The sequence below is a fragment of the Homo sapiens genome, chromosome 5 (genome assembly GCF_000001405.40).
Source record: "Homo sapiens chromosome 5, GRCh38.p14 Primary Assembly".
Taxonomy (NCBI): domain Eukaryota; kingdom Metazoa; phylum Chordata; class Mammalia; order Primates; family Hominidae; genus Homo; species Homo sapiens.
Genome location: NC_000005.10, coordinates 136,010,544 through 136,033,952, shown reverse-complemented (window position 1 = coordinate 136,033,952; position 23,409 = coordinate 136,010,544). Strand labels below are relative to the sequence as shown.

Sequence of the window (23,409 nt, the reverse complement as noted above, 5' to 3'; positions counted from 1 at the left end):
AACCTGACCTTCTAGAAGGCTGGCCCAGGCCCTGGGGAACTGCAGCCAGCGTGCATACAGCTTGGTCTCCTGGCTGGTTACAGATACTCACGTTGATTTGCCACAGATTTTCCTTTGGTACCACTGCTTGCAGTTGGTGAAGTACTTCCTATTAGTGCCAATAACCTTCTGCACAGCACACACGTTGGGGCTGAAAACAAAAGCAGCAGAATTAGGAAGATGATCAGCACGTCCACCCCACTTTAATGACTCCCATCGTGTTTGCCTCCTTGGGTCACTGGAACTTTCTAGAGATAGAGGAGAGAGTCATTTCAGTCTTGGTACTGGGGATATCTTGGGTTTAGACTTTGGTTCTGTTTACCTAGATTCCCATCAGCCCCCATGAAAGCTTCCCCTGCAAAAATTGTTAAAATCTCTCTTACATACTGATGTAACTTCATGTACATATCCTTCTTTGACATGGGCAATTGATAAGTGTAAACAAAAGCATCTCTCAGGCAGCTCTCCATACAGACATGCTCTGCATGCCTGGACCAGCTGCTTGGCTCCCAAAGACAAGCCATTGTTACTGTCTATCCTATAAACCCGAGGCTTTATAGCTGGTTTAAACCATGGCTGGTTGCTCTCAGGACCCTGATAGGGGATGCTCTCCCATTTAACTCTCAGTTGTTCATTACTTAGATCACAGCTCAAGTCCCACTTCCCCCAGGAGCCTTTCTCCAATGTCCCAGATGACATGCTGCTTCCCATCCTCTGACAGTGGATACGGTCCTTATTTGATGTTGGGTTCCAAACAGAATTCCTGTAAGTGATGCGGGGAGGTGGGGGGTGTCTCTTCTCTGCATCTAACACTCAACAGAACCTTGAGGACAAGTGTTCTGCCTTGTTCTGTTGTTCACATTCTAGATGGGGCCTAGCATCCAGGCAGGGTGTAGAAGGAGCACGAAATGAACTTGTTGAAAATACTGCTCCCCAAACTACCCAGATCCAAAGAATCCTCAGGGACCCTGTGAAAAAGCAGAGTGTAAATGTCTGGGGGTTCTGCTAAGAAGCCTTTTCCAGAACCACAGGATTTTGGTTTTGCATGTTTTTTTCAAGTATACCAAGTCCTGACCCAAACTGTGCTCAGGCCAGGTGATTGTGAAAGCTTCATTAGGAGCCCCTAGGGAAAGGAAGCTGCTGTGCTACGTGGTCAGTCAGGAGAGGCGTGGTCAGTCAGGAGAGGGTTGATCTTCCTGAGCCAGAGGCAGGCATGCATCTGACTGAATCACAAGTCAGAGGAAAGCAAATAAAACAAACAATACTGAGGGCTTTCACAAGACCTCCAAGCTCAGAGAACTTCAGGTATCACCCAAAGGATGAAGTATTTCTTTAACATCAATTTCCCTGTTACTTTAAGAATGCCATCCACAGACATCACTTGATGTGCAGCGTATTTGTTAAGAAGACACCAATATTGCAGTAAAAACTACACCTACTGTCCCCATCATGATTCCTCTGCAGGAACTTGAACAATTCTCAAATATTCAGAGTCAGGCTTTTGGGTGGGAGTCCATTCTGCCCCTTCATTTCTCTGCCCTGTCTCTTCTGCGGTGATATGACTGTCACCTCTTGGCCAGTTTTTTGTTCAACAGGTGAAAGTGAGTGGGCCCAGGAGGGACAATGAGCATTAATGAATCCATGTAAGGATCTAGGGACAAGAGAAGTGAAGGCTGGAGAAGGGACCACAGCCAGCAGAGGCCCATGCCTCCCTAGTCCTAGCTGGGCCTGACCAAATCCTCCAGATTTCTGAATACCTGGTTTCTGTTTGCTGCCTAGGATTCACAGGTTAGACAGTCCCTGAATAACCCCTGAAGAGTCCTTGCTGGCCATACTCCAGCCCCCGGTCCTATTTATTGTTACAGAATCCCAGAAGCTCTTCAATCTGATCAAGCAGGAAACAATTACTGTCAATGAATTCCCTGCCACTTTCCGTAGGCGTTTGGCGAATCTTCAGTGAGTCTCTTGTGGATGTGGCTCCAACATTCCTTTGCTGAATGTTTCCACTGCTGCTGTCCTTGTGGCAGCAGCAGAGGCTGGGGGCGGCTGTGACCCTCTCCTTCTCACATCGGGGAGTGTGGGTGGGCTGTGTACATAGGAAGTTCATGCTGAAGCTTAATTGAAATGAGCAAGTTGCTTCTGGGCCTCAAGAATAACAGCATTGATGTTCAGCTTAGATTTGAAAACCAAGTGCTTCAGGAAATTCAGTTCAGTTTTTGGTGGTTGATGTTTGGAAGTGTGATTGTATTTTTACTTCTCTTTCAGTATTATTTTTCCCCTTCCCTATAGCAACACAGATATAGCTGGGAGTCAAGAGACCATATCATAGTTATTACTCTCCCAACAGCATTCTGTGTCTGAACTAAGTCACTCTCTACCTCACTAAGCTGCAGTTTCACCTCCTGTAAAATGGGAACATGAACAGTAGATCTCACTGTGTTGTGGTGAGGTCGAAAGCAAAAGCGGCAATCGAGTGCTGCGCACAAGCAAGGCACAGCTGTTATTTCTTCCTTCATATCAGGCAGCACGCTACAATTCCTTAAAATAGCAAAGTTTTCCTTCCCTTTCTAACAGTTTTCACTTTGAATGAAAGGCTGGAGCTAGAACAACGTTATCCATTTGCACAAGGCGCCACAGCCCTGTGTGCCAGGCCAGGCAGCCCTGTGGCATTAACAGGGACAGTTAGATCAGAGTAAATACAACTGTGCCTGCAACCATTTTGCCATGGTTCATGTGCCTGCGCATCCAGATTCTACTGGGACAGGGGTGCTCCTGTGACTTCTTAGATTACTCTGCCCATCACAGATTACAATAGGCCTTTCCAGCTGTGCTGCAGGAAGCTAATTAAGAGGCTTTGCCTGCAGGGGTATGGTGGGGAAGTTGATCTAATATCTGGAACTCATAATCAAGAGCATCTGCATTTAAGAAAAAAACCCTGTTTTCCAGCTGGTCAGCACTCTTCTGGGCTCTGAAGGGAAAGAGGTTTGCTGTAAAGATGGCTCTTGATGGAAAGCCCTCAATACCTTTGAGGATCCTTCACTGTGGCTGTGCAGAGAGATGCCCTTACAGGTGACACTGTTGCAGGGCATGCTATAAGGATCTTCTCCTGACTTAGTGGCGAAGATACAGAAGAAATAGAACCCTCCTAGGCAAATTGAGGCACCCAAACATAACACAATTCATTGGCAGGAAAGGCAGAGAGACCAACGGAGAGGTGGGCAGAGATAATAAAAATGCCAGGTGCTTGCATTTTGATGTTGAGGCCTCATATCCCTCTCATCTTTCTGACATCCCCCCTCACTCTATTCTGCACACTGCCCAAGTCAAAGCTGATTCTCCCACTTCCAGAAAGACCCCAGGATATCCCCAGTATTCTCCTCTTTCCAGGAGGGTGTTGAGGTTGCAGCCAGGCCTGGTTTGATTTCACTCTGCAGGGTGGCCAGATGTGCTCCCAGCAGGCCCTCTCCGCCAGAGCCCCAAACTCCTGAAAGGCCTAGACCATAAAGCCACAAGTAGAGGAAACAAGAGCAACTATGCCCTACAAGGGGCAGCCTGTACCCGTACCCAGAGCACTCCTAGTGCAAGGAGCCAAGACTTTCAGGGCCTGTGAAGTCAACTCTATCACCCCCAACAATGAGTTTTGATTTGAGCACAGATCTGCCCAGTCTCTTGGAGGTTTGGGCATTGCTTGTGGGTGTGAACGCCAGACCCCGATGGTATTTAGGCTTCCTCTGAGGAGTCACTACAAGATTCTACTCATATATAGTTTTACCTAGTTATGAAAAAGAAGTTGGTGCAACCAGGTAGGCTGGAAGCTGCAGCAAAGCCTGGGTATTTGTGACGCAGGTATGGCCTGGTTTTTGAGGTAGAAATGTTGCCTGCCTCTGCCTGGGTCAGTATTAGGGCCACTATCAGACCAGACCTTCTGCTTGAGTTTGTCTCCTAAAGCCAACACATCTTCAGGGTCTCAAAGGAATTCCTGCAATGATAGTGTCCTACATTTACAAACCCAGCTATTACTTTAAGACAGACTCCAATCCTGGCTCCAGTGCACACTTCAGGACTGTGGGAAAGTGGAACCACTCAGGACTCAGTTTCCCCATTTGAACAGTGTGTGTGAGGGCCCAGTGCATTCTCCTGCTCTTCATCGGGCAGGACAAGAAGTGCCACATTGCCCTTGCTGTACCCAGAGAGCAGTGTCGGGTGCCAGCAGTGTCTGAGTGCAGGGCCTGGCCAGGAGCACAGGAGCCTGGGGCACCTTAGATGCTGCCACCGTGTGTGGCCCAGGTTCTTGTCTGGAGTCGCTGGCCGGGGGCCTGGCTGGGTTGGAATAGGTGTACTGCTGGGTGGGCTTTGCCCTTGGCACCCTCCCACGGTGATTATGGCCAAAGAGTTGCCATTTCCCCCTTTCTGCAGTGGCTGGGAGGAGAAGCTGAAAGCGCTGTCCGTCTCAGGCTCTTGGCCTGCGTCGAAAGTCTCTGGTCCACTTCCCCACTCCCTTCTACAAAGCGGCGGCCTCCCGCTTTCCCTCCATGGTCCTCCACCTCCCTCCCTCTCTCCTTCCACCGCGTGCAGGGCTGGTGTCCGAGCGCTCCATGCTGCAAGGTTTTTAGTTCGGGCTTTGTCCCCTGCGCCCCCAGCCCAGTTCAATGCCCCCAGCGGCTTGCGCTCCGAGCCCCGACTACCTGACCTTCCGCAGCCCCTGGCCAGGCGGCTCGGCTTACCCGTGCTGGCGGCCCCGGAGCCTGCTGTGCTGCAGCACCAGCTGGTAGGGCGACTTGGCGGGACCCGCCAGGGTCGCGGCGGGGCCCAGGGCCAGAGCCAGGGCGAGAGCCAGCAGCCGCACGAAGAGCGCCATGGAGCGGGACGACGCGCACCGAGCGAGCTAGCGACCGACGGGCAAGCGGGCGGCTCCAGGGAAGTGAGAGCGCCTCCGCCGCCCGGGCCAGGTTAAGTAAGCTGCGAGCGGGAGGGAGCGGACGCCAGGGGCGGGGAAGCTGGGCCGGCCCGTGCAAGGAGGGCGGGCCGCCTGGCGCCTCCCAACCCGTGCGCCCCTGGCTGCCCTGGGCACCCACCCGCTCCCGCACTGTGCCCGTGCTCAGTTTTCCCAGCCCTTGCCCTCACTGCCAGCCCTCCCTCCCTCTCTCCCTCGCCACAGTCTTCCTCAAACCAAGGGTATAGGTCCCTTAGGCCTCCTGTGGCTGCTTCCAAATGGGGACCTTGGGACTGAGGGACAGCTGTCTCGGGGGCTTCGGTCCTGCATGCTGGGGGCCCGAAGATTCCCTCACTGATCTTGAGGCTACAAAACACTGCAGGGAGGGGTGAGGGGAGGCAGTGCTGATTCCCAGAACACCATGGCCCATCAGACTTGTTTCTGCACCCCAGGAGCTGACCACCCTCCCCAGCTCCTCAATCTCTAATCCCTCCACCCCCACCCCACCTGTCATGCTCATTGAAAGACAGATGAGTAAATCGTGTGATCCACAGAAACGCCAAAAATGTGGGGCAGGTTTTGTTGGGCTCTAAGCTGCTTTTGGAGCCCGTGGGGAAGGGTGGGGTCCTCACCTTGGTACTAATTCATTCCCTTCTTCAGTAAACATCTCTGCAACAGTACCTGCCAGATAGATTCTGCAAAGGCAAGAGTCCTGCCCTGGAGGAGCTCAAGGCAGGTAAACAAATTGTCACATGGTAAAGAGGTGATACTTACCCAAGCATCTATTAATCACCTGTCAGTTACTTGGCACTGCTAGCCCTGGGGAGACACAGATGGATTAATAGAATGAGTGAGACCTAAGCCCTTTGTGAAAAAGCTCCAATTTGGGAAGATCCGTAGCCCAAGCCAATGATGTTCCATGAAGAGTAGCTGGGGCTTTGGGAGCTAAGAAGAGGCACCTGGCCCTGACAGGGTGATACCTGCTCTGAGGCCTGAAAGATGAAAATGAGTTAATCAGGTAAACTGAGGCATGCATTCACGAAACTCAAGTTATCTGGTTGGCTGAAGCACAGGGAGGTGGAGTCAAGGGTAGGGAAGAAGGGGAGGAAGGTAGCAGGGCCCAGACTCCAGCTAAGAGCCTAGCGGGTGATGGGTGGAGGCAAGTGACATGGCCAGTGTCATGAGAGGCTTAAGGAGGCAAGAAGAACAGGTAACCAGGAAGGGACCATGGGAGAGCTTGAACTATGGTGGTAGAGGCAGAGATGGGGAAGGCTGGGCAAATGTGAGGGGTGTAGGAGGTAATAGTCTCAATAGAATTTGGAGTCTGTATACAGGGAGAAGGGGAGAAAGGAGAGTCAAGGATATTGTAGGGTGTTTGTGGTCTGGACATTGCAGCAGGTGATGGTGCCATGTTCAGAATGAGGCACATGCAGAGTGCAGGCTTGCCAGGTAGATGAGTGGTTTGGGACACCCTGAGTCTGAGGTGCTTATGACTCATCCTGGTGAAGCATCCCATGAGGATAAAGCTGGATATGAGGATCGGGGGCTTGAGTGAGGGACGCGGGATGAAGATTCACACCTGGGAGTCATCCTCCAGTGACAGAAGAGCCCAGGAAGTAGAGAATGTGGGGTTGTAGTCAAGGAGGGGTATCCTAGTAGGAGGGCGCTGCTCAAAGTGAGGAATGCTGCCAACAAGACAGATCTGAATGGCTTTCACTGTGTCAGAAGCAGAGAGGCCACTGGGGACTTGGCTGTGGAGAGCAGATGGCCAAAGCCCGAATATGGTGGTTTGATGGAGAGATGAGTAGCATGTAGAAGCTTGTCTGAGAAGGGAAGGGGCGAGTTAGGATGGCAGCCAGGGAAAGAAAAAGACAAGCGGGGCTTGGAGAGGTTAGAACTCTGGTAGAAAGAAGGTGGGAAGGAGAAGGGAGAGAGTGTGGGCACTGGAGGAGGGCCTACTGAGAGCATAAAGCAACTGAGGGCCTGCATGGGGAGTGATCAAGCTAGTGGAGAGGAGGGAACAGGTGTATGGGAGATTTTAGTGGTAGCATTGATTAGACTTGGAAACCCCTTGGGCATGCAGGGTTAGGGAGGGGGAGTAGAGCTAACCTCGAGGCTCATAGCTGGCAGGAAGGGATGCCTGTGCTGGGCACGCTGGTGAAGGTGCACATTTGGGTGTGTGAGGAGAGTGCTCCATTTGTGTTCACATTATGTGTGAACAAGCCACCTGCATTTCCAGGAGGGATGGACAGGAGGGAGCTATATTCAAAGGTCTTGAGCTCAGGATAGGTATGAGGATTGGAGATGCAGATTTGAGTCACCACTACGAGCAGGTGGTAGCTAAAGTCATGCACTGGATGAGCTTCCTTGGGAGCAGGTGTTGGAAGAGAGGAGGAGGAGGAAGGAGAAGAAAAGGAGAAGATGGGTTCAAATACCAGTCTTTCTACTTCCTAGCTGTGTGGTCTTGGGCAAGTTATTCAACCTCATAGAGAGGATAATAAAACCTACCTCACAGGACTCTAAACTAGATTACATGATACAATTCAAGTAAAATGGCCAATAAATATGCATTGCTATTATTATTATTACCTCTCCCCAGTCATTGTTCTATATAGTAGGGTTCAATGAAACAATATGATAGTTTTGAGCAACTACAGAAATAATTATCTGAAAATGCTCATTTCATTTATTGAAAGCAAAACATTTCTCGGTTTCAGCATGACTGCTTGGCATAGGATAATGGGAAGAACCCAAAGGGATTCAAGCTCAGGCTGACTCCCAGAACAAGTTTCCCCTGAGACCAGTAGAATTTGGCTGCATTGCAGTTTCTAGGAAAAATGCTCCTTGTATGTAAGAGGCCAGGAGCCCTGCCATCTGGTTCCAGCTCTCTCTCTAGCAAGATTTAGGGCAAGTCAAGCAAGTTCACTGGACCTCACTTCTCCAGTCTGCAAAACTAACATTCGATGACTTGAGTTTTTCCATGAGCTCAGTAAAGAGATTGCAGTAATACTTTATTTATGGTTTAGATATTTTTTTAAAATCCCACATCCATGCCCCACCACCCATCCCCTCTTTCAAACATGAAAAGCAGAATGCTGTGAGTATAACCATTCTCCCACCTGAGGTTGCTGCTTCTTTGGAGACAAGAGTGATGCTGCTGGAGGTAAGAGCAGGGACCCTCCATCCCCAGATGACCCAGAGCCAACCAGGCAAACACAGAGCACCAGAAACCCTGTCATTTGAGAAAGAATTTTTTCCTTCCAGATTAAACAATCTAAACAGGAGAAAGTGAGGCTTGCTTGGAAGAATCTTTACTAGACTTTTTCAAGCACTTTTTAAAAAATGACTGCTTTTACATTTTGTGGCACATGAAAGGTCACCAAAAACATTCAGGTTTTGAAAATAATACTGTAGGGTATGACAACAAGCTTTATGCATCATGATAAATTAGTAGTTCCAACAAGTTCTTCACAAAGGAACCTAGGAAAGAAACTGGTTCTGGGCCTGTTGGTGGGAGAGCTGGCATCTGCAGCCCAGCTGACACCAGGCCTGCCTTTTCCTTACTCCCTAAAGTTCCTGGTGATGCTTGGGCATACATGGAGACAGAAGATACAGTCAAAATCATTTTCAGAGGCCACCATATAGCTAAATAAAGAGCTCTTAAAATTCAGCTCCCCAAGACTTGCTAGGGAGAAAAAAAGGTGAGTTTTGGCAAGAGATATCCAAATGAAAAGATGTGAATCAAATTTTGGGGAAAATTGCCATCCCTTGTGTAACACACAGAACTTAGAATGGTACTTCATATACAGTAATTGTTTTTTCCATGTTACAAATAAAGGTAAGAAACATCTCAGTTTACTAACATTAAGGTGTGATTGTAGTACCATTTAGGGGATTTTGGATTGATTTCTCAAGGATTTTCCACAGTCTTGCCACTCAAAATGTGATCTGCAAAACAGCATCATCAGCACAACCCCAGAGTTCATTAGAAATGTGGAAAATTTAAAAATTTTTTATTTATTTATTTATTTTTTCTAGCTCTCATGAAGAAACGTGGAATCTTATAACCTCCCAACCTCCCAAGACCCACTGAATCTGCATTTTCACCAGATCCCAAGGTGATTTGTATGCACAGGACTACAGGGTCATGTTAAATAGCTATGAGCTCAGAGGTGGTTAACAGAGGATTCAATTTATGTAGGCATGGAAGAAACGAAATACACCTGAAAATGTGTACCAGTGAAGTGACCACAGAGGAACTCTCATCTTCCGCTGAGGCCCAGCTCACTTTGTGGAAGACCTTCAAGATGCCCAGGCACAAGGTCAGTAGTTGCATATTCAGTGTCTTCCACACACTGGACAGGGAGGGGAAATTGGCCACAGTCACCTTCCATTCTTCTCTCTTTTCAAAGCCCGCAAGGGAGGCTGGGATAATCGACAGGTTTGTAATGGCAGGAACTTAAAACAAACTTGAGGCTTCGGGCTCTGCAATTGATGGGAACAGAACAGCCGTCGCAGCCCTAGAATGGCATTAGGCCCCAGTGTTTAGTTTCTTAAATGACTTGGCTGTTTTCACAACTTCTCCAAACACTGGCTTTCTTAATCAGGGCCTGCCAAATGCTACTTGTTGGTTAGAACCCAATTTCATTTTCCAGGGAAACCGATTTTTCATGAGAGTTTCATTGATTTGGCTCAGCTAAAATATCTAAGAAGAATCCAGAGGCACTTTTGAGGTTGCTTTAGTTGCCTGACCTCAAATACTTTAGTGGAAGGATGCCCACAGATGATTGTTGGCTTACACATGCCTTTCCTCTGCTTCCCACGAGTTTTCTTGCACGTAGGATAAAGGCCTTCAGGGAAATGGACACCACCCAGCAGCAATTCATTCCAAAATGCAGAAATCCCTTGGCTCTTTCGTCCAGCTCCCCTTCTTCATTTCTTCATTCTTGCCTGTGGTGCCGCTCAAGGTTGGAAACCTTGCATTCAGTTTTGCCTGTCCCTGCTCTCTGGTCCCCCACGTGCAATCAGTCACCAAGATCCTGCAGGTGTTCTTTCCAAATCTCTCCTAGATGCTTCTGTTCCCTCTTTTGCTACTCAAATACTCCAGCTCCCCACTGCCTTACCTCTCACCACCCACAGCCTCCAGCCAGTCTGACATCAGCTGCCACCCCAGCCAACCATCTCCCAACGTGGCTGGTCTTATCTTCCTAAAACACTTCTACCAAAACACTGCACTCCTAGGACACTCCCGATGGCTTCTATTGTTTGTAAAAGAAAATCCAGACTTCTCTGATTGTTTATTTATTTTTTTGATGAACATTTTATCCTCCCCAGCACCCCACCATGTTAAAAAGGAATACAGGCACATTACCAAAAAAAGAAAAACCTTAAAAAATACTGAAAAGGCTAGATAAGAGGAACACACACATCCATAATCCCTATACTGAAAGAACTTCCCATGTATTGCCCTCTTTCTACTGTACCTGGCTTCTAAAGTCCTCTGCAAAATTCCCCCTTTGCTTCATGTAACCTGCTTTCCCTGTGTCCCAGTCTCAGCCTGGGCTCTTGCAGGGCCAGCCTGTGCCTCTTCCACCCACTCAGCCCCCCACCCCCAGCCTTGCTCTGCTCCCCGTGTAGTGAGCACTGTGCTCCTTCTTTGCCTCTACACACGTATGCGATACTCTCCCTCCAAAACCAGCTTTGCTAAGAAGCTTTGCTCAGGCAAATTCCTTCACCTCTCTGGGCTGCTGTTTTTTCAGCTGGTCTCCCTTCCGTGGCTCTCCCACTGGATGGAGCCTCTCCTTTTTGAAGTCTAACATCCGTCATCACAGTGAGCCCATGTGTTTGTTCCTCTGATTCTCTAACAGCCTCCTAATAAGTCAGCACGGAGCCCAGTTAGCATTTGCGGATCCATCAGTTGACTGGCTTCCTAAATTCTTTCTAGCATAATTCACACTTATTCTAATAGAGTGGTCAGAATAGACAAAGACATTTGTTGGCTCTGCTGTAGGTGACTGCTCCACCATATGCTGTGGACTAGACTCATTTGCGTGGCCCTCTGGGTCAGGCAGGGATTCTGAAGGGCTTTAAAGAACATCGGACCTGGCTCCCTCTCCAGCTTCCCTAGCACAGGCCTTAAGTCCCAGCACGAAGGAGAAGGATCGAGCTTCTCTGGGGCCGGTGCTCCCAACATCACATCCTGATCCTTTGGAAGCTCCCTCATGCTAGGTGAAAGAAAGTCTCTGCTTCCCCAGCTGCAATGTTGTGCCAGCATTAGAAGGTAGAAAGGGGAAGCAGGGTTGATGCAGCCATGACTGATGGCTCCACAGCAGCCATCCTGAGAGCCATTTTCAAAATTCCTAAGAATTTGCTGCTATCCTGACCCGATCCACCCTACTCCAAAACACCCTGGACATTCAAATCCATGGTATAGAAATTAATTTGTGCAGGCTAAAGAGCTGGTGAGATGAGAGCCACCATATTTTGCCTGCTGGTTTTAACATTTTAGAACTTGCTCATTGTCCAGATCAGCACCTTTGCCCTGGCATGAAAGGACAAAAATTAAACCCCATGTAGAGTGCCCCATGATACCCACCCCAGACTTCTCTGGACCCTCCACTGCCCCTCATCTAACGATTGGGCACTGGGCCCAGTGGCAGGCCAGCCATAACACACCCTTCCCCAGTCTTTCCCAGCATTTTCTTCCTCAGTCTTCCATCCATGGGACTCCTCATATTTCACTGGGACAGGAATGGGGTGAATGCTGTGCTCTACATAAACCACATAGTGCTCTGTAGTTAAGATACAAATGTTTAGAATGATTTCTGCTTCTAAAGACAACAAAAGCAAGAATTAGCCTCCAAGCTTCCTCCAGATGAGGCTATGTTTAGGAAAGGCTATACGTTTGAGAATGATGCAGGGAAGAAAGCAGAAGGAAAAAAAAAAACAGTAGGAAAAAAAAAACAGTGCATGCATGTGCCCACGTAGAATACTGGCTTATTAAAGAAAAATAAGAGTTTACCAATGTCAGGTACTATTCTCAATACCTTTATGTGTTAAGTCATTCCATCCTTAAAATACTCTTATGGGTTGAGTACTGTTCTCTTTTCTGTTTTCCAGATGAAGAAGGCAAGGCTGGAGAGGTGAAGAAGTTTGTTGGAGTGGTGACAAAGCTAGTGGGTAGGAGAGCCAGCACTTGAACACAGGCAGCCCAGCCCTAAGTACTTGTCCTACCTAAACCACTATGCACCCCCTCCCCAGCTAGGGTAGTTGCATATTTTTGGAAAATCCTTGATATGGTTTGGCTGCGTCCCCACCCAAATCCCATCTTGAACTGTAGCTCCCATAATTCCCACGTGTTGTGGGAGGGACCGGGTGGGAGATAATCGAATCATGGTGGTACCTTCCCCCATACTGTTCTCGTGGTAATGAATAACTCTCATGAGATCTGATGATTTTATAAGGGGAAATCTCTTTTGCTTGGCTCACATTCTCTCTTGTCTGCCACCGTGTAAGACATGCATTTCACCTTCCACCATGATTGTGAGGCCTCCCCAGCCACGTGGAACTGTGAGTCCATTAAACCTCTTTTTCTGTATAAATTACCCAGTCTCAGGTATGTCTTTAACAGCAGCATGAAAACGAACTAATACAACCTTCAAACCTTCTCCCTTGAACACATTTTCACTGAGCAAGACTCTAGCAGCTGCTGTGGTAAGTGAGGCAGGCTTGGGGAAGAAAGCAGCCAGCACGCAGCCACTCATCCCCTTCTCCAGACAGACAGGGGACCTGAGCTGCTGGATCACTCTCTAGATGACCATGAATCAGCATTCCTTTCAGTGGATCAACTAGAATTGCTTAGTAATCCTCAACAACCTTTAATTCCTCATTTAATTACTGATGAAATAGCAATTAAATGTGCCTGAGAAATCTTCAAACTCGTGGCACGGTCATTTCAATGAACATTTGATACACCAAAATCCCAGGACAACAAAAAAATTAAAATGACCTCCAGGGTGCCTAGAAAAGATTTTCCCACGTTAGTTAGCACATTCCTGAAGTAACAGTCTAACCAGAAGTTCAGTTAGTCCTGTTATTCTACATTATTTTTAAAAACTACTACTGACAACATATGAACAACCAGCTTGCTCCAGAAAGTGGTTCTTGATCGATTCTACCAATATTTACTGAGTTCATGTTAGGAGCCCAGCAGTCGGCTGCTTATTACGGTTCTAGACACAAGTGAGTCATTCTTTGGTGGGGAGCCAGGCACATATACAATGAAATAAGTGCCAAATGCATGGCTATACCCAAAAGGACTCCAAAGGGAAGTACCCAACCACACACCACACAACGGGGGTGGGAGGGTAGCAAGGATTGGCGGGGGGAGTTTGGGGTAGCCGGAGGGAAACCAGATTCTTCCCAGAAGGGATGATTCATCATCTGGTGGACAGTGAAGCCAAGTCATCAAGGTAGACTGCAACTCATCAAAACAGAAACCGGAGACGGGGTTAGTACTAGAGACAGGATTGCTGGTCTGAATTTCTGGTTCTTGTTAGCGCTTTACAATTCCTGAGACATATATAAGCCTGAAAGAAATGCTTTCCTCTGTATTCACTCTTAATGGCCACGTTTATTCCTCCCTCTATTGTAGAGAGATCTACTAAATATCTTATGACTTGATTTGGTCCTTCTCAAAGATAGGTTCAAGTCTTCTCTGTGGGCACTTTTCAAACTCCAAAACCAATAAGCCTCAAGGTAGGCCCCTAGCCCTTGTGGAGTCTATTTATACCTTTGGGGCACGATCAGCAACTAACATCACATAGCACTGGTGCTACACAAACATAATTCAGGTTCCTTCTTAAATTTCTAGTTACTTACAGTGAAGGAGGCAAGGAAGGGCAACAAGTGTGTATCTGTGTGTGTGGGTCTGTGTGATGTGCAAATAACAGACTCCTCTATCTGTGTGTCCAGATCCAATAAGTACAAATTCTATCAAGCCCTTGAGACTGACAGGACAGAGTTCTGCCAAGCTGAGGAGGGGCACAGAGCTCAAGACAAAGCTTAAAAAGGCTTGGCTCAGTGATTAAAGTACAACACAATAAGCAACTTTAAAATGTGTTTATTTAGATACAAACTCCATCCAAGACCCCATAAGTTAGACCTTGGCCTGTTTTCGTGAAGTGGTGTGACGGCAGTGGCCTTTTAAAAATTTAGTTTCTGTAACTTACTCTGGGGACATAGGTTGATCACTCTAAATCAGTATGTTAATAAATAGAGCAGCAGAAAGGAAGGCTGCAGGGTCATGAGACCCAGGCTTGCATGCCTCTTCTTTCTTGATAACTGTTTCCAGATGTGGGTGTTGGCACAGTATCAGCTTGATGACAAAAACGAATGAAAGTCCTTTCTCCCCAGCTAACAGCAGGCGGCTACTGGTTCCGGCAGAAGGCCTGCTTGTGTTTTCCTTTCAGAGGTCTCACGTGGCTGAAAGCATTTGCCTCTTGCTGAATGTTTACCTGGCATACGCTAGGAACAGCAAATGACACAAGAACCTCAGTGCAAGATGTCTCTTGAAGAAGAAGGTGGTAGAAAAGTGCATACATCTAATAATCCTAAACAACAGGGAAAGACACGGCTGGATTTGGGGTAAAAACATCTCATCACCAAGGAAATGATATGCAGGAAGTCGTCAGCTCAGGGTCCTATTCTTATCATAGATGAAATGGTTGCTTCCGCTAGTGTTCTGGAGGGGAGAGGTGAGAGAAGATTGTTCCTGACTTCAGGGTGCCTAAGAGGAGTCACATACGCATGACACAAAACAGACATATTAAAGGACTCACTAAGGACAGTTGGGTCTGCTTTCAGTAGAGAAAAGATGTGCACTTAGGAAGTGGTAGTTTCTGGCATGGTTCAACTGGCCTGTCTCCATGTGTGTGGAATCTCACCTTTGACCTCAGACCTTGGTCACGTACCAGGCAGGCTGCATGTTGCCCAAGGCTTGGAGACCAGGCTAGCTGAGCTCAGACTTCTCACATTCTGCTTCCATCCTCCTTTGACTTTTGGGAAAGTCTCCTCCTGCTGATTTTCATTTGCTGGCCAACCCGCTTGCCACAAACCAGGGAAAATCAGCTCTGAATTTTGAAAACTGGAAACATAAATTCATTTGGCATAAACACAGCTTTCTCCAGCAGACACACAGGAAGTAAGCTTACCTATGTATGCGATGGTATCATGGACCACCTTAGAGCCTATCATAACTAGCGTTCAGTTGGTGTGGATGGTGTAAGAATAAATTTCATTGCTCTCTAGGACACAAGGAGCACTTAACTTATGGATTTCCGGGAAAAGTTTCCAGCTAGGAATGCTCTAAAAGATTACCAAAAATCTTTGTTTTCATGCCTCAAAAGAAATATCCGATCTCAGCTGGTTTTGACTTGTTGGTGACCACAGCTTATTTCCCAGTGTCATTTGCACGAGTCAATTTTGTGGACTTGATCAGAAAGCCTTGAAGGGTGTGAGAAGAGGAGAACAGATGGCTAGCAAGGGCCACTTTGGGACAGCAAGAAAGGCCGAGTCCATCTACTGGTGACTGGATCTGACCTGTCCATGATAGAGCCAGAGTCTGAATGGACAATCCTGCTCTCTCATCCCTCCTGCCAACCCTGTGCCTTTCCTTGGTCTTGGACAGGAAATGCAGAATGAGACAAGCCATCCATTGCCATTCATCCATCCCACAGGATCAGAGCCCCAGCCCCAAGGCCACTGGTTATGAATATCCCTTGCAGGTGAAATGCTCCTATTAATACATAACCCTGAGTTTGGGATAATGCATGAAAAGATATTTCAGAGCATGGCTTCCTGTAGATACATGTCTTAAGGGCCAGTAGGTGGATTCTGTTAGCCCCTTTCTGGCCAGAAGGGATTCTATACAGTGCTGCCCAGGCCCAGGGAATGTATGAAATGAGCTCCAAGGAAGCTTCGGAGAGGTCTCCTTTTCTAGTAAGTTCCACACCCACTAAGCATTTATTAAAGTGTCAGCTGTGGATATTGCATAGTCAAGCAAATACAGGGTAAACACAAAAGATGTAGAAGGTCCTTCATGTCTTCCAGAAGCACACCATTGTCTGTGAAGGCCAAGGAAAGGCAAGAAATCAAGTTCAAGACTGGAAAACATACATTTTTATAGCCAATTTACTAAAATATTTTCAGTTCTCTGAACCTAGCATGCTTTTTTTCCACCTCCAAACCTGTGAACACAGACCTTTATTCTTGCTGTCTGGCTTCCATGTGTCCATGAGATTTTAATTTAGACCACACTTTCTCTGGGAGGCCTTCCTTGATGCCTTCAGCCTGGGTAGGTGCCCTTTCTGTGGGCTTTTACTGGCTCCTTTTCTTCTCCCACCATAGCATCTATCAGTGACATGTCTGTTTTCTCTACCAGACGGCAAGTTTGATGAGGGCAGGGATAATGCCTGCCTTCTTCACTACCCCATTCCCGGTATTCATTCATTCATTGGTTAATTAACTATGGAGTGCCTGGCATGAGCCAGTCAAATGATGAAAGAGAAAGGTCACTGTGAAGCTGTATTAGTCAGGGAAGGCAACTTGGGGGAGGTGCATTTTGAGATGTTCTTTGAGGAAGTTGAAAAGGGAAAACAATGGGAGGCATGAAACTTGGGGGCCTCATGCTACCCCCTCCCTCTCCACAAGATGTCTAGGCTTCCATGGGAATCAAATCTGGGAACCATTACTAAGGGGAAGGGCACTCACATTCATGGAGCTCTTACCACATGCCAAGATTTGCCAGACGCCAACCACATTAATAATACTTGCCATTCACCCTGAGTTGGCTGCAGGCCAGGCCACTTCTTGGGCTGTCTCATTTGATCTTTTCAACAACCCTGCTGAGATGGTTGTCCCCATTTTTACAGATGAGAGACTAAGCCTCAGAAAGAGTGGGATTTGGCCAAGATGGCATAGTGACTAAGCCAAGAGTCATAGCCAGGGCTGTTTGGCTCAAAATCAATGATCTTCAAATATTTTGCTCACAACCCAACTCAAAGAATTGACCTTTTTTGCACATTTTAAAGTTGACTTATAAAGATTTTTTATCATGTGTTTAAATAACTGTAAAAGATGTCAGAGCATTGTATTTTGAATATGAGCATTACATTACGTTTTTGTCAAAATATTGGAACTTTAGATTGAGTTTATGCAGTTGATAGAAAATCTCTGCCATATCTCAACTCTGTCCCTCATACCAGCCTTGGATGAGTTACTTAACTGCTTCTATGTCAATGTTTTCTGCAAATTGAGAATAAGAATAATACCTACTTACAGGACTATTAGGAGGATTATATGAGATAATTTTATGTAAAGTACTTAGAAAAAGGACTGCTCCACACTTCTGTATAAATGTTTGCTATTATTATAAACTCTAATTGAACATTGAGAGGCTGCCTTTTCTAATTCCCCTTTGTTAGAAGTCCTGGCACAATGCCCCATGGTAAGCTGGTAAGAGGGAAATCTTGCCTTCATGAAGAAGGGAGGTTGAGGAAAGGGAAGTAGGAGCATCAGCAGAGGGGAGGCGCATGCTTAGGCTGATCTGTTCTAGGAGAGGGCACTTGTGGAAAATGGGGACTTGGAAGTTGATTCTGGTAAAAATTATGCATGCTCCCTAAAAGGTCTTCCTGTAGCCCCAAGGATGTGTGTGTTCCAGTTTGAAGTCTCCATTTGTCCTTGAAGAGCAACAACCACCAGTGAATGAGGCAGCCCTCTCTTAGCAGGGCCCAACATCCCAGGGAATAGCAGATGAAAAAAGGTCAAAGTATTTTTGGAATTTCTCCTCCCTAGAGAAGTGAAAATGCAGGCAAGTGCTGTGCTGATGTGGCATGGTCAAGTCCTACTCAAAAAGTGGTCTATGGGCCAGCATCACTAACATTGCCTCGAGCTTTCTAGAACAGGCCTCAGCCCATTGAATCAGAATCTGCTACAACCAGTGGTTCTCAACCCTGGCTGCAACTTAGAATAAGTAATCATGGGGAGCTTTTAAAAAATCCTGATGCCCAGGGCCACATCCCAGACCACTTAAACCAGAATCTCTGGTCATGTGGTCCAGGCAACACTAGTTTTTAAGTTTCCCTGGTGACTCTGATGTGCAGCCACAATGGAGAACCACTTTCATTTGTAGCAATGTTAATACAGAACTTTAAATGTGGGCTCCTTCCCTTCTAAATAATAGCCTTATCTGCAGTAGCTCTTCTGTGCATTCTGCCCACCCGTTCGCCGCTGCATGCTCATTCTCTCACCTGGGCTACTGTGGCAGCCTCCAGCCCTTCCCACCCAAAGGAAGACCTTCCACAACATTGCCTTGACTTTTCTTCCAGACTTTTCTCCAGACACTCCCCTCCATTCCAATCCAACCTGATGATTCTCTCTTCCCTAAACATGCCTCAAAGTTTCCCACATGCCCACCACAGTCTGGTGTCTTCTTCTCCATTTCTTGCCCAAATTTCTGCTCCTTTGGGGGATCATGTTAAGATACCTCCTCCGTTGGATCCCCTCTGCCTGGTTGTGAATTCCCTGTAGTGTTTTCTTCCCTTATACTTTCTACTTTAGATTCACATTTTATGCCTTCTTTCCCCACTTCACCCCATCCCATTAGCCTGTGGGCTACAAGAGCAGAGTAGGGGCCCACTTCTCTTTATTTATCCTGAAAGACCTGCCACTTGCCTGGGCACACAGAGCTGCACCCCCGCCCTGCTCCCTCCCCAGGCAGAGACAGGCTCAGGGAGGCTTGCAAACCATCGCCCCTACCGCTGGCGATTACTTGGCATACTAATTGTTCCATTAAATTAAAGCTCTTTAAAAATTACTACCCTAAGGGGAGCGGGCAAAACCCACATCAGGCAAGTTGCTTTAAACGTTGCCTAGAAATGAAAAGTTTTTTTTATCATTTATAGCAATGTTAATACAGAACTTCAAATGTGGGCTCCCTCCCTTCTAAATAATAGCCTTACTCTTCCTAGAACAAGATGGGTTCATCAGCACAGCCGGCAGCAGCTGACCACCAAACTTCAAAGGAAATATTCTCCAATCGCTCCTTCCAGATCCATCTGGCACCCTGAGCCTGGCCTCAGCTCAAGTCCATGATAAGTGTTCCTTTAATGCAGAGACTTGCATTTGGGCTTGGACTCCTCCTCTGTTTTCCCTTCATGCTATGGAAATCATTTAGTAATTTGCCCTCATAAAAATCAAGCAGAGAACCAGATATTTAATGTCTACAGACAGTGCACAGGGCAGAGACGTCACCTCACCATCATTGCCATTTATGTGCCTTTCAGCAGGGCTGACAAAATGTCTTCCTCTCCAAGGTTCTACAATCCAAGCTGCTGTTCTTTCTAGTTGCTGGTGACCTTCACTTTCATTTCTTGCCCTTGCCAGACACCTATTTCTAATATGGATCTGCCTTCCCATTTTGTAGACAGGATTCTGGTAAGTATCAGTGCAGATTGCATTCAAGACTCATTTCTTCTCTGAGATAAGAATCTGTACCGATGGGGTTGCAGGCATATGGCAGGATTTATTAAAGAGCCAGATAACTTCTTTCATTATTATCTTCTTAGTCCCAAACCACAGGTCTCAAGAGAAATGTTAGAAAGTGTTGCTTCCCTAGTACACATAAGAGAATAGATATTTAGCAGAGACAGAAATGAGTCAGCCTCTCTCCCTGTGTCTCACCTAGGCATGTGCTGTTAAGGCCAGTACCCCGCAGGGCCCCAGGTTAGAGCGGGGCAAATTTATATTACACATTTAAAAGGGCCTCTTGAGTGTTAGGCTTGGAACAGGCTGCAGAGGCTGCTGGGCGGCTTCCCAAGGAGAGCTTTAAGAACATACAGCCATCTATTACACTTGGCTGAGGACAAGCCCTGCAAAGAGGGAGGATGGGGAAAAAGATTTCTGAAGGCTGCTGCTACCTTGGGGTTTTTTTGGGGTCATTTTTGTTTTGTTTTTATTTGTTATGGATACAGAATAGTTGTGTGTATTTATGGGGTACATCTGATGTTTGGATACAGGGCATACAATGTGTAATGATCAAATTGGGATAATTGTAGTATCCGTTACCTCAAGTTTTCATCATTTCTTTGTGTTAGGAACATTTCAATTCCACTCATTTAGTTATTTAAACATACACAATAAATCATTGTTAACTACAGTCTCCCTGTCGTGCTACTGAACACTAGATCTTATTCATGCTATCTAACTGCATTTTTGTACCCAGTAACCATCCCCACTTTACCCCCCCATTCCTGCTGCTCTTCCTTACCTCTGGTAATCATCTGTATCTCCATGAGATCAATTTTTTAAAAATTTTAATTCTTACATATGAGTGAGAACATGTGAAAAATGTGTCCTTCTGTGCCTGGCTTATTCCACTTAACGAAACCAGACCCTTATCTCAAGACTTAAATCTAAACCTGAAACTATGAAACTACTAAAAGAAAACATTTGGGAAACTCTTCAGGACATTGGTATGGGCAAAGATTTCTTGAGTAAGACCTCGAAAGCACAGGAAACCTAATCAAAAATGGACAAATGGGATCATATCAAGCTAAAAAGCCTCTGCAGAGCAAAAGAAAAAATAACAAGCAAAAGGACAACCCACATAATGGGAAAAATATTTGCAAACTACCCACCTGACAAGGGATTAATAACTGGAATATATAAGAAGCTCAAACAACTCAATAGGAAAAAATCAAATAATCCAATTAAAACATGAGGAAAAGATCTGAATAGATATTTCTCAAAAGAAAACATACGAATGGCCAACAGGTTTGTGAAAAAAATGCTCAACATCACTAATCATTAGAGAGATGCAAATCAAAACTACAATGAGATATCATCTCACCCCAGTTAAAATGGCTTTCATCCAAAAGACAGGCAATAATAACAAGTGCTGGTCAGGATGTGGAGAAAGGAGAACCCTCATACACTGTTGGTGGAAATGTAAATGAGTACAACCGCTATATAGAACAATCCTCAGAAAACTAATAATAGAGCTACCATTCAATCCAGCAATCCCACTGCTGGAAATAATTCCAAAAGATAGGAAATCAGTATATTGAAGAGATATCTGCAATCTCATGTTTATTGAAGCACTACTCACAATAGCCAGGATATGGAATCAACCCAAATGTCCCTCAGTGGGTAAACGAATAAAGAAAATGTGGTACATATGCAGAGGAATATTATTCAGCCATAAAAAGAATGAGGTCCTGTCATATGCAACAACATGGTTGGAGCTAGAGGACATTACCCTGGGGTTTTGTGATGTGTACAGCTGGCCTCAGGTCAGAGCCAGTAGAAGTTGCAGCTCTTCTCTGATTTTTGCTTAAGTGCCTGTATCTCCACAAATGTTTCCAACTTCCACTCTACTATGAGGTCTCACTCTACACAGGAACTTCAGCTCAGAGGAGAAAAAAATAGAACCTTCTAGACCAAACACCAAGAAACTTTTGTTTGCTCATGTCTGTACATGCATCTCTTCATAGAATAAAACAGTTGTGGAATATCTAAATTCTGATCTGCCTCTTGTCTCAACAGATGTTTAAGAAAATGACACCTTAAAGTTAACTAAGAACTCAGAGATTCATATTTTGAGTACAAAATTTTTGATGAGATCTGCAGTTTTGCCGTTTATAGAGAAATGCATGAATTAGACACTTAGGGTAAGAGGAAGTGGCTTACTAAATATCAGCGTTAATTCTTGAGATTCCATTTAATTGCACAACATTCTACTTCCTCTTCCTCAAGTAACATGAACAAGCAATTGTCTGAAATATTAAACACATAAAACTACAGCAAATATTAACAAATTCTAAAATTGTATATGTGTGTTCTTCATATGCAAAAAAATATGGTATCATAGGAAGAAAATATCATATACCTGAGAGAGCCTTCCCCCTCTCCCCTATTCCTTAGAGATTCTAGGAAACCATTTTTCAAGTTCTTTTCTGATTTTCAAAACCACAGGCTGACAACAATAAGTAGTTAGCTTTTAAATCTTTTACTACAACCACCCAGATTAAATTGTTCCCTTATTAATCTAGGGAAAATAATTACCAGGCAAAAGATCCTCTTTTGTCCATTAGCCATGATTTATTTCAAATGCGTGCTTTCAGTCCACATTCAATTTTTTTCACATATGTGAACACTTAGATATTGAAATTCTTTTCCTGTCAGCTGTCAATGTGCATTGCTTTTTAATCCAAAAAAGACTTAAAAGATTATCAGATAAAAAGTATTTCAAAGCTTAAAACGAATCCTCCTATTGTATTCCCAACTACCTTATATCTCCTATCGTAAGGTTATATTAAGTGCTTTTGGCTGTTTTCCCAAACATCCAGACATGTTTTATGTGAAGTGTGAGTCATGGCAGCTTTGCTTTCATGGTTCAGGACAGTCTCCTTGAAGCGGGAACTAAATGGTGGAATCTTAAGTTGTTGGTGATGATGGATTGGGAACTGGACATTTATCCAAGTGCAGAAAATGAAATAGGAAAATGTTTCTTGCCAGTTTTAAATCAAAGGAGCTAATTGCCTTACTCGAGTTGTGTCTACTAAGTAGCATGGGATTGTGACAGAGCCTGGAAAGAACAGAAGTTAGAGAGAAGCTCCCTCATGAATGAAATAATTTAAACTCTAGACTAAAATGTGAATTTGTTAGAGTTTCAGGAAAAAAAAATTTATTCCTCTTCCTCCATTTGATGTTGTTTCTATATGGTAAAGAGTTATGATGGCAATTTCCACAGACTGTGAATCTAGTTATTTCCTAAAATGTCAATTTGAATCCAAATGCAAGTTAACATCTGTGTGATGGGACAAAAATGATGAATGCATTTGTTTCTAGGGTCTTTGCTCTTTGACATCCTATCTAAGAAGAGTTTCATTTCTGCCAGACCAGTAATAGGAGATTTTGTGTTTTTAAATCAAGATATCAGGGCAAAGAAGAACCACAGAGCAAGGAGAAAAACGTGAAGACTTCTAGGTAGTCTTAATTGATCTGATCCATGGCTGTCCAGTAGAAATACAACCTGAGCTACATATGTAATTTTATACTTTATAAATATAAAATCATATTTTATAAGTAGCCATATTACGAAAGTAAAAAGAAACAGGTACAAATTAATCTTAAAAATATTTCTATGGAAGCCAATATATTTAAAACATTATCATTTTAACATGTAATCAATATGAAAAACATTAGTCAGACATTTTATATTTCTTTTTTTCTCATCTCAAGTCTTCAAACTCCAGTGTGCATTTTACACTTATAGCACATCTCAAATCAAACTAGCCATATTTCAAGTGCTTAATTAGCCACATATGGCAGTGGCTACCATATTAGACAGCACAAATCTAGATAATTAATTCCTCGGA

General features: G+C 45.3%; 1 protein-coding gene and 1 long non-coding RNA gene across 2 annotated transcripts in view, besides 1 other annotated feature; one reads left to right on the top strand and one right to left on the bottom strand.

The window, feature by feature from the left end:
- The window catches only part of TGFBI (transforming growth factor beta induced), a 34,831-nt gene extending 29,866 nt beyond the window's left edge, over positions 1–4,965 (bottom strand). The window contains exons 1-2 of the mRNA NM_000358.3: positions 4,764–4,965; positions 92–190 (exon numbers count right to left, since the gene is read on the bottom strand). Coding sequence (NP_000349.1) covers positions 92–190; positions 4,764–4,897 — 233 coding nt within the window. The 5' untranslated portion in view covers positions 4,898–4,965. The remainder of the gene's footprint in view (positions 1–91; positions 191–4,763) is intronic.
- Positions 2,679–2,748: an enhancer, noted in NCBI's record as "active region_23176". NCBI's record gives its function as "activates an Ori minimal core promoter by ATAC-STARR-seq in GM12878 lymphoblastoid cells {active_cell/tissue: GM12878}" and the evidence as "EXISTENCE:reporter gene assay evidence [ECO:0000049][PMID:35858748]".
- On the top strand, positions 8,060–12,395 carry LOC105379189 (uncharacterized). The gene is made up of 4 exons (XR_948809.3): positions 8,060–8,135; positions 9,011–9,090; positions 9,174–9,294; positions 12,092–12,395. It is a non-coding gene; the product is annotated as an uncharacterized LOC105379189 (long non-coding RNA).
- Positions 12,396–23,409: the final 11,014 nt, after the last annotated feature.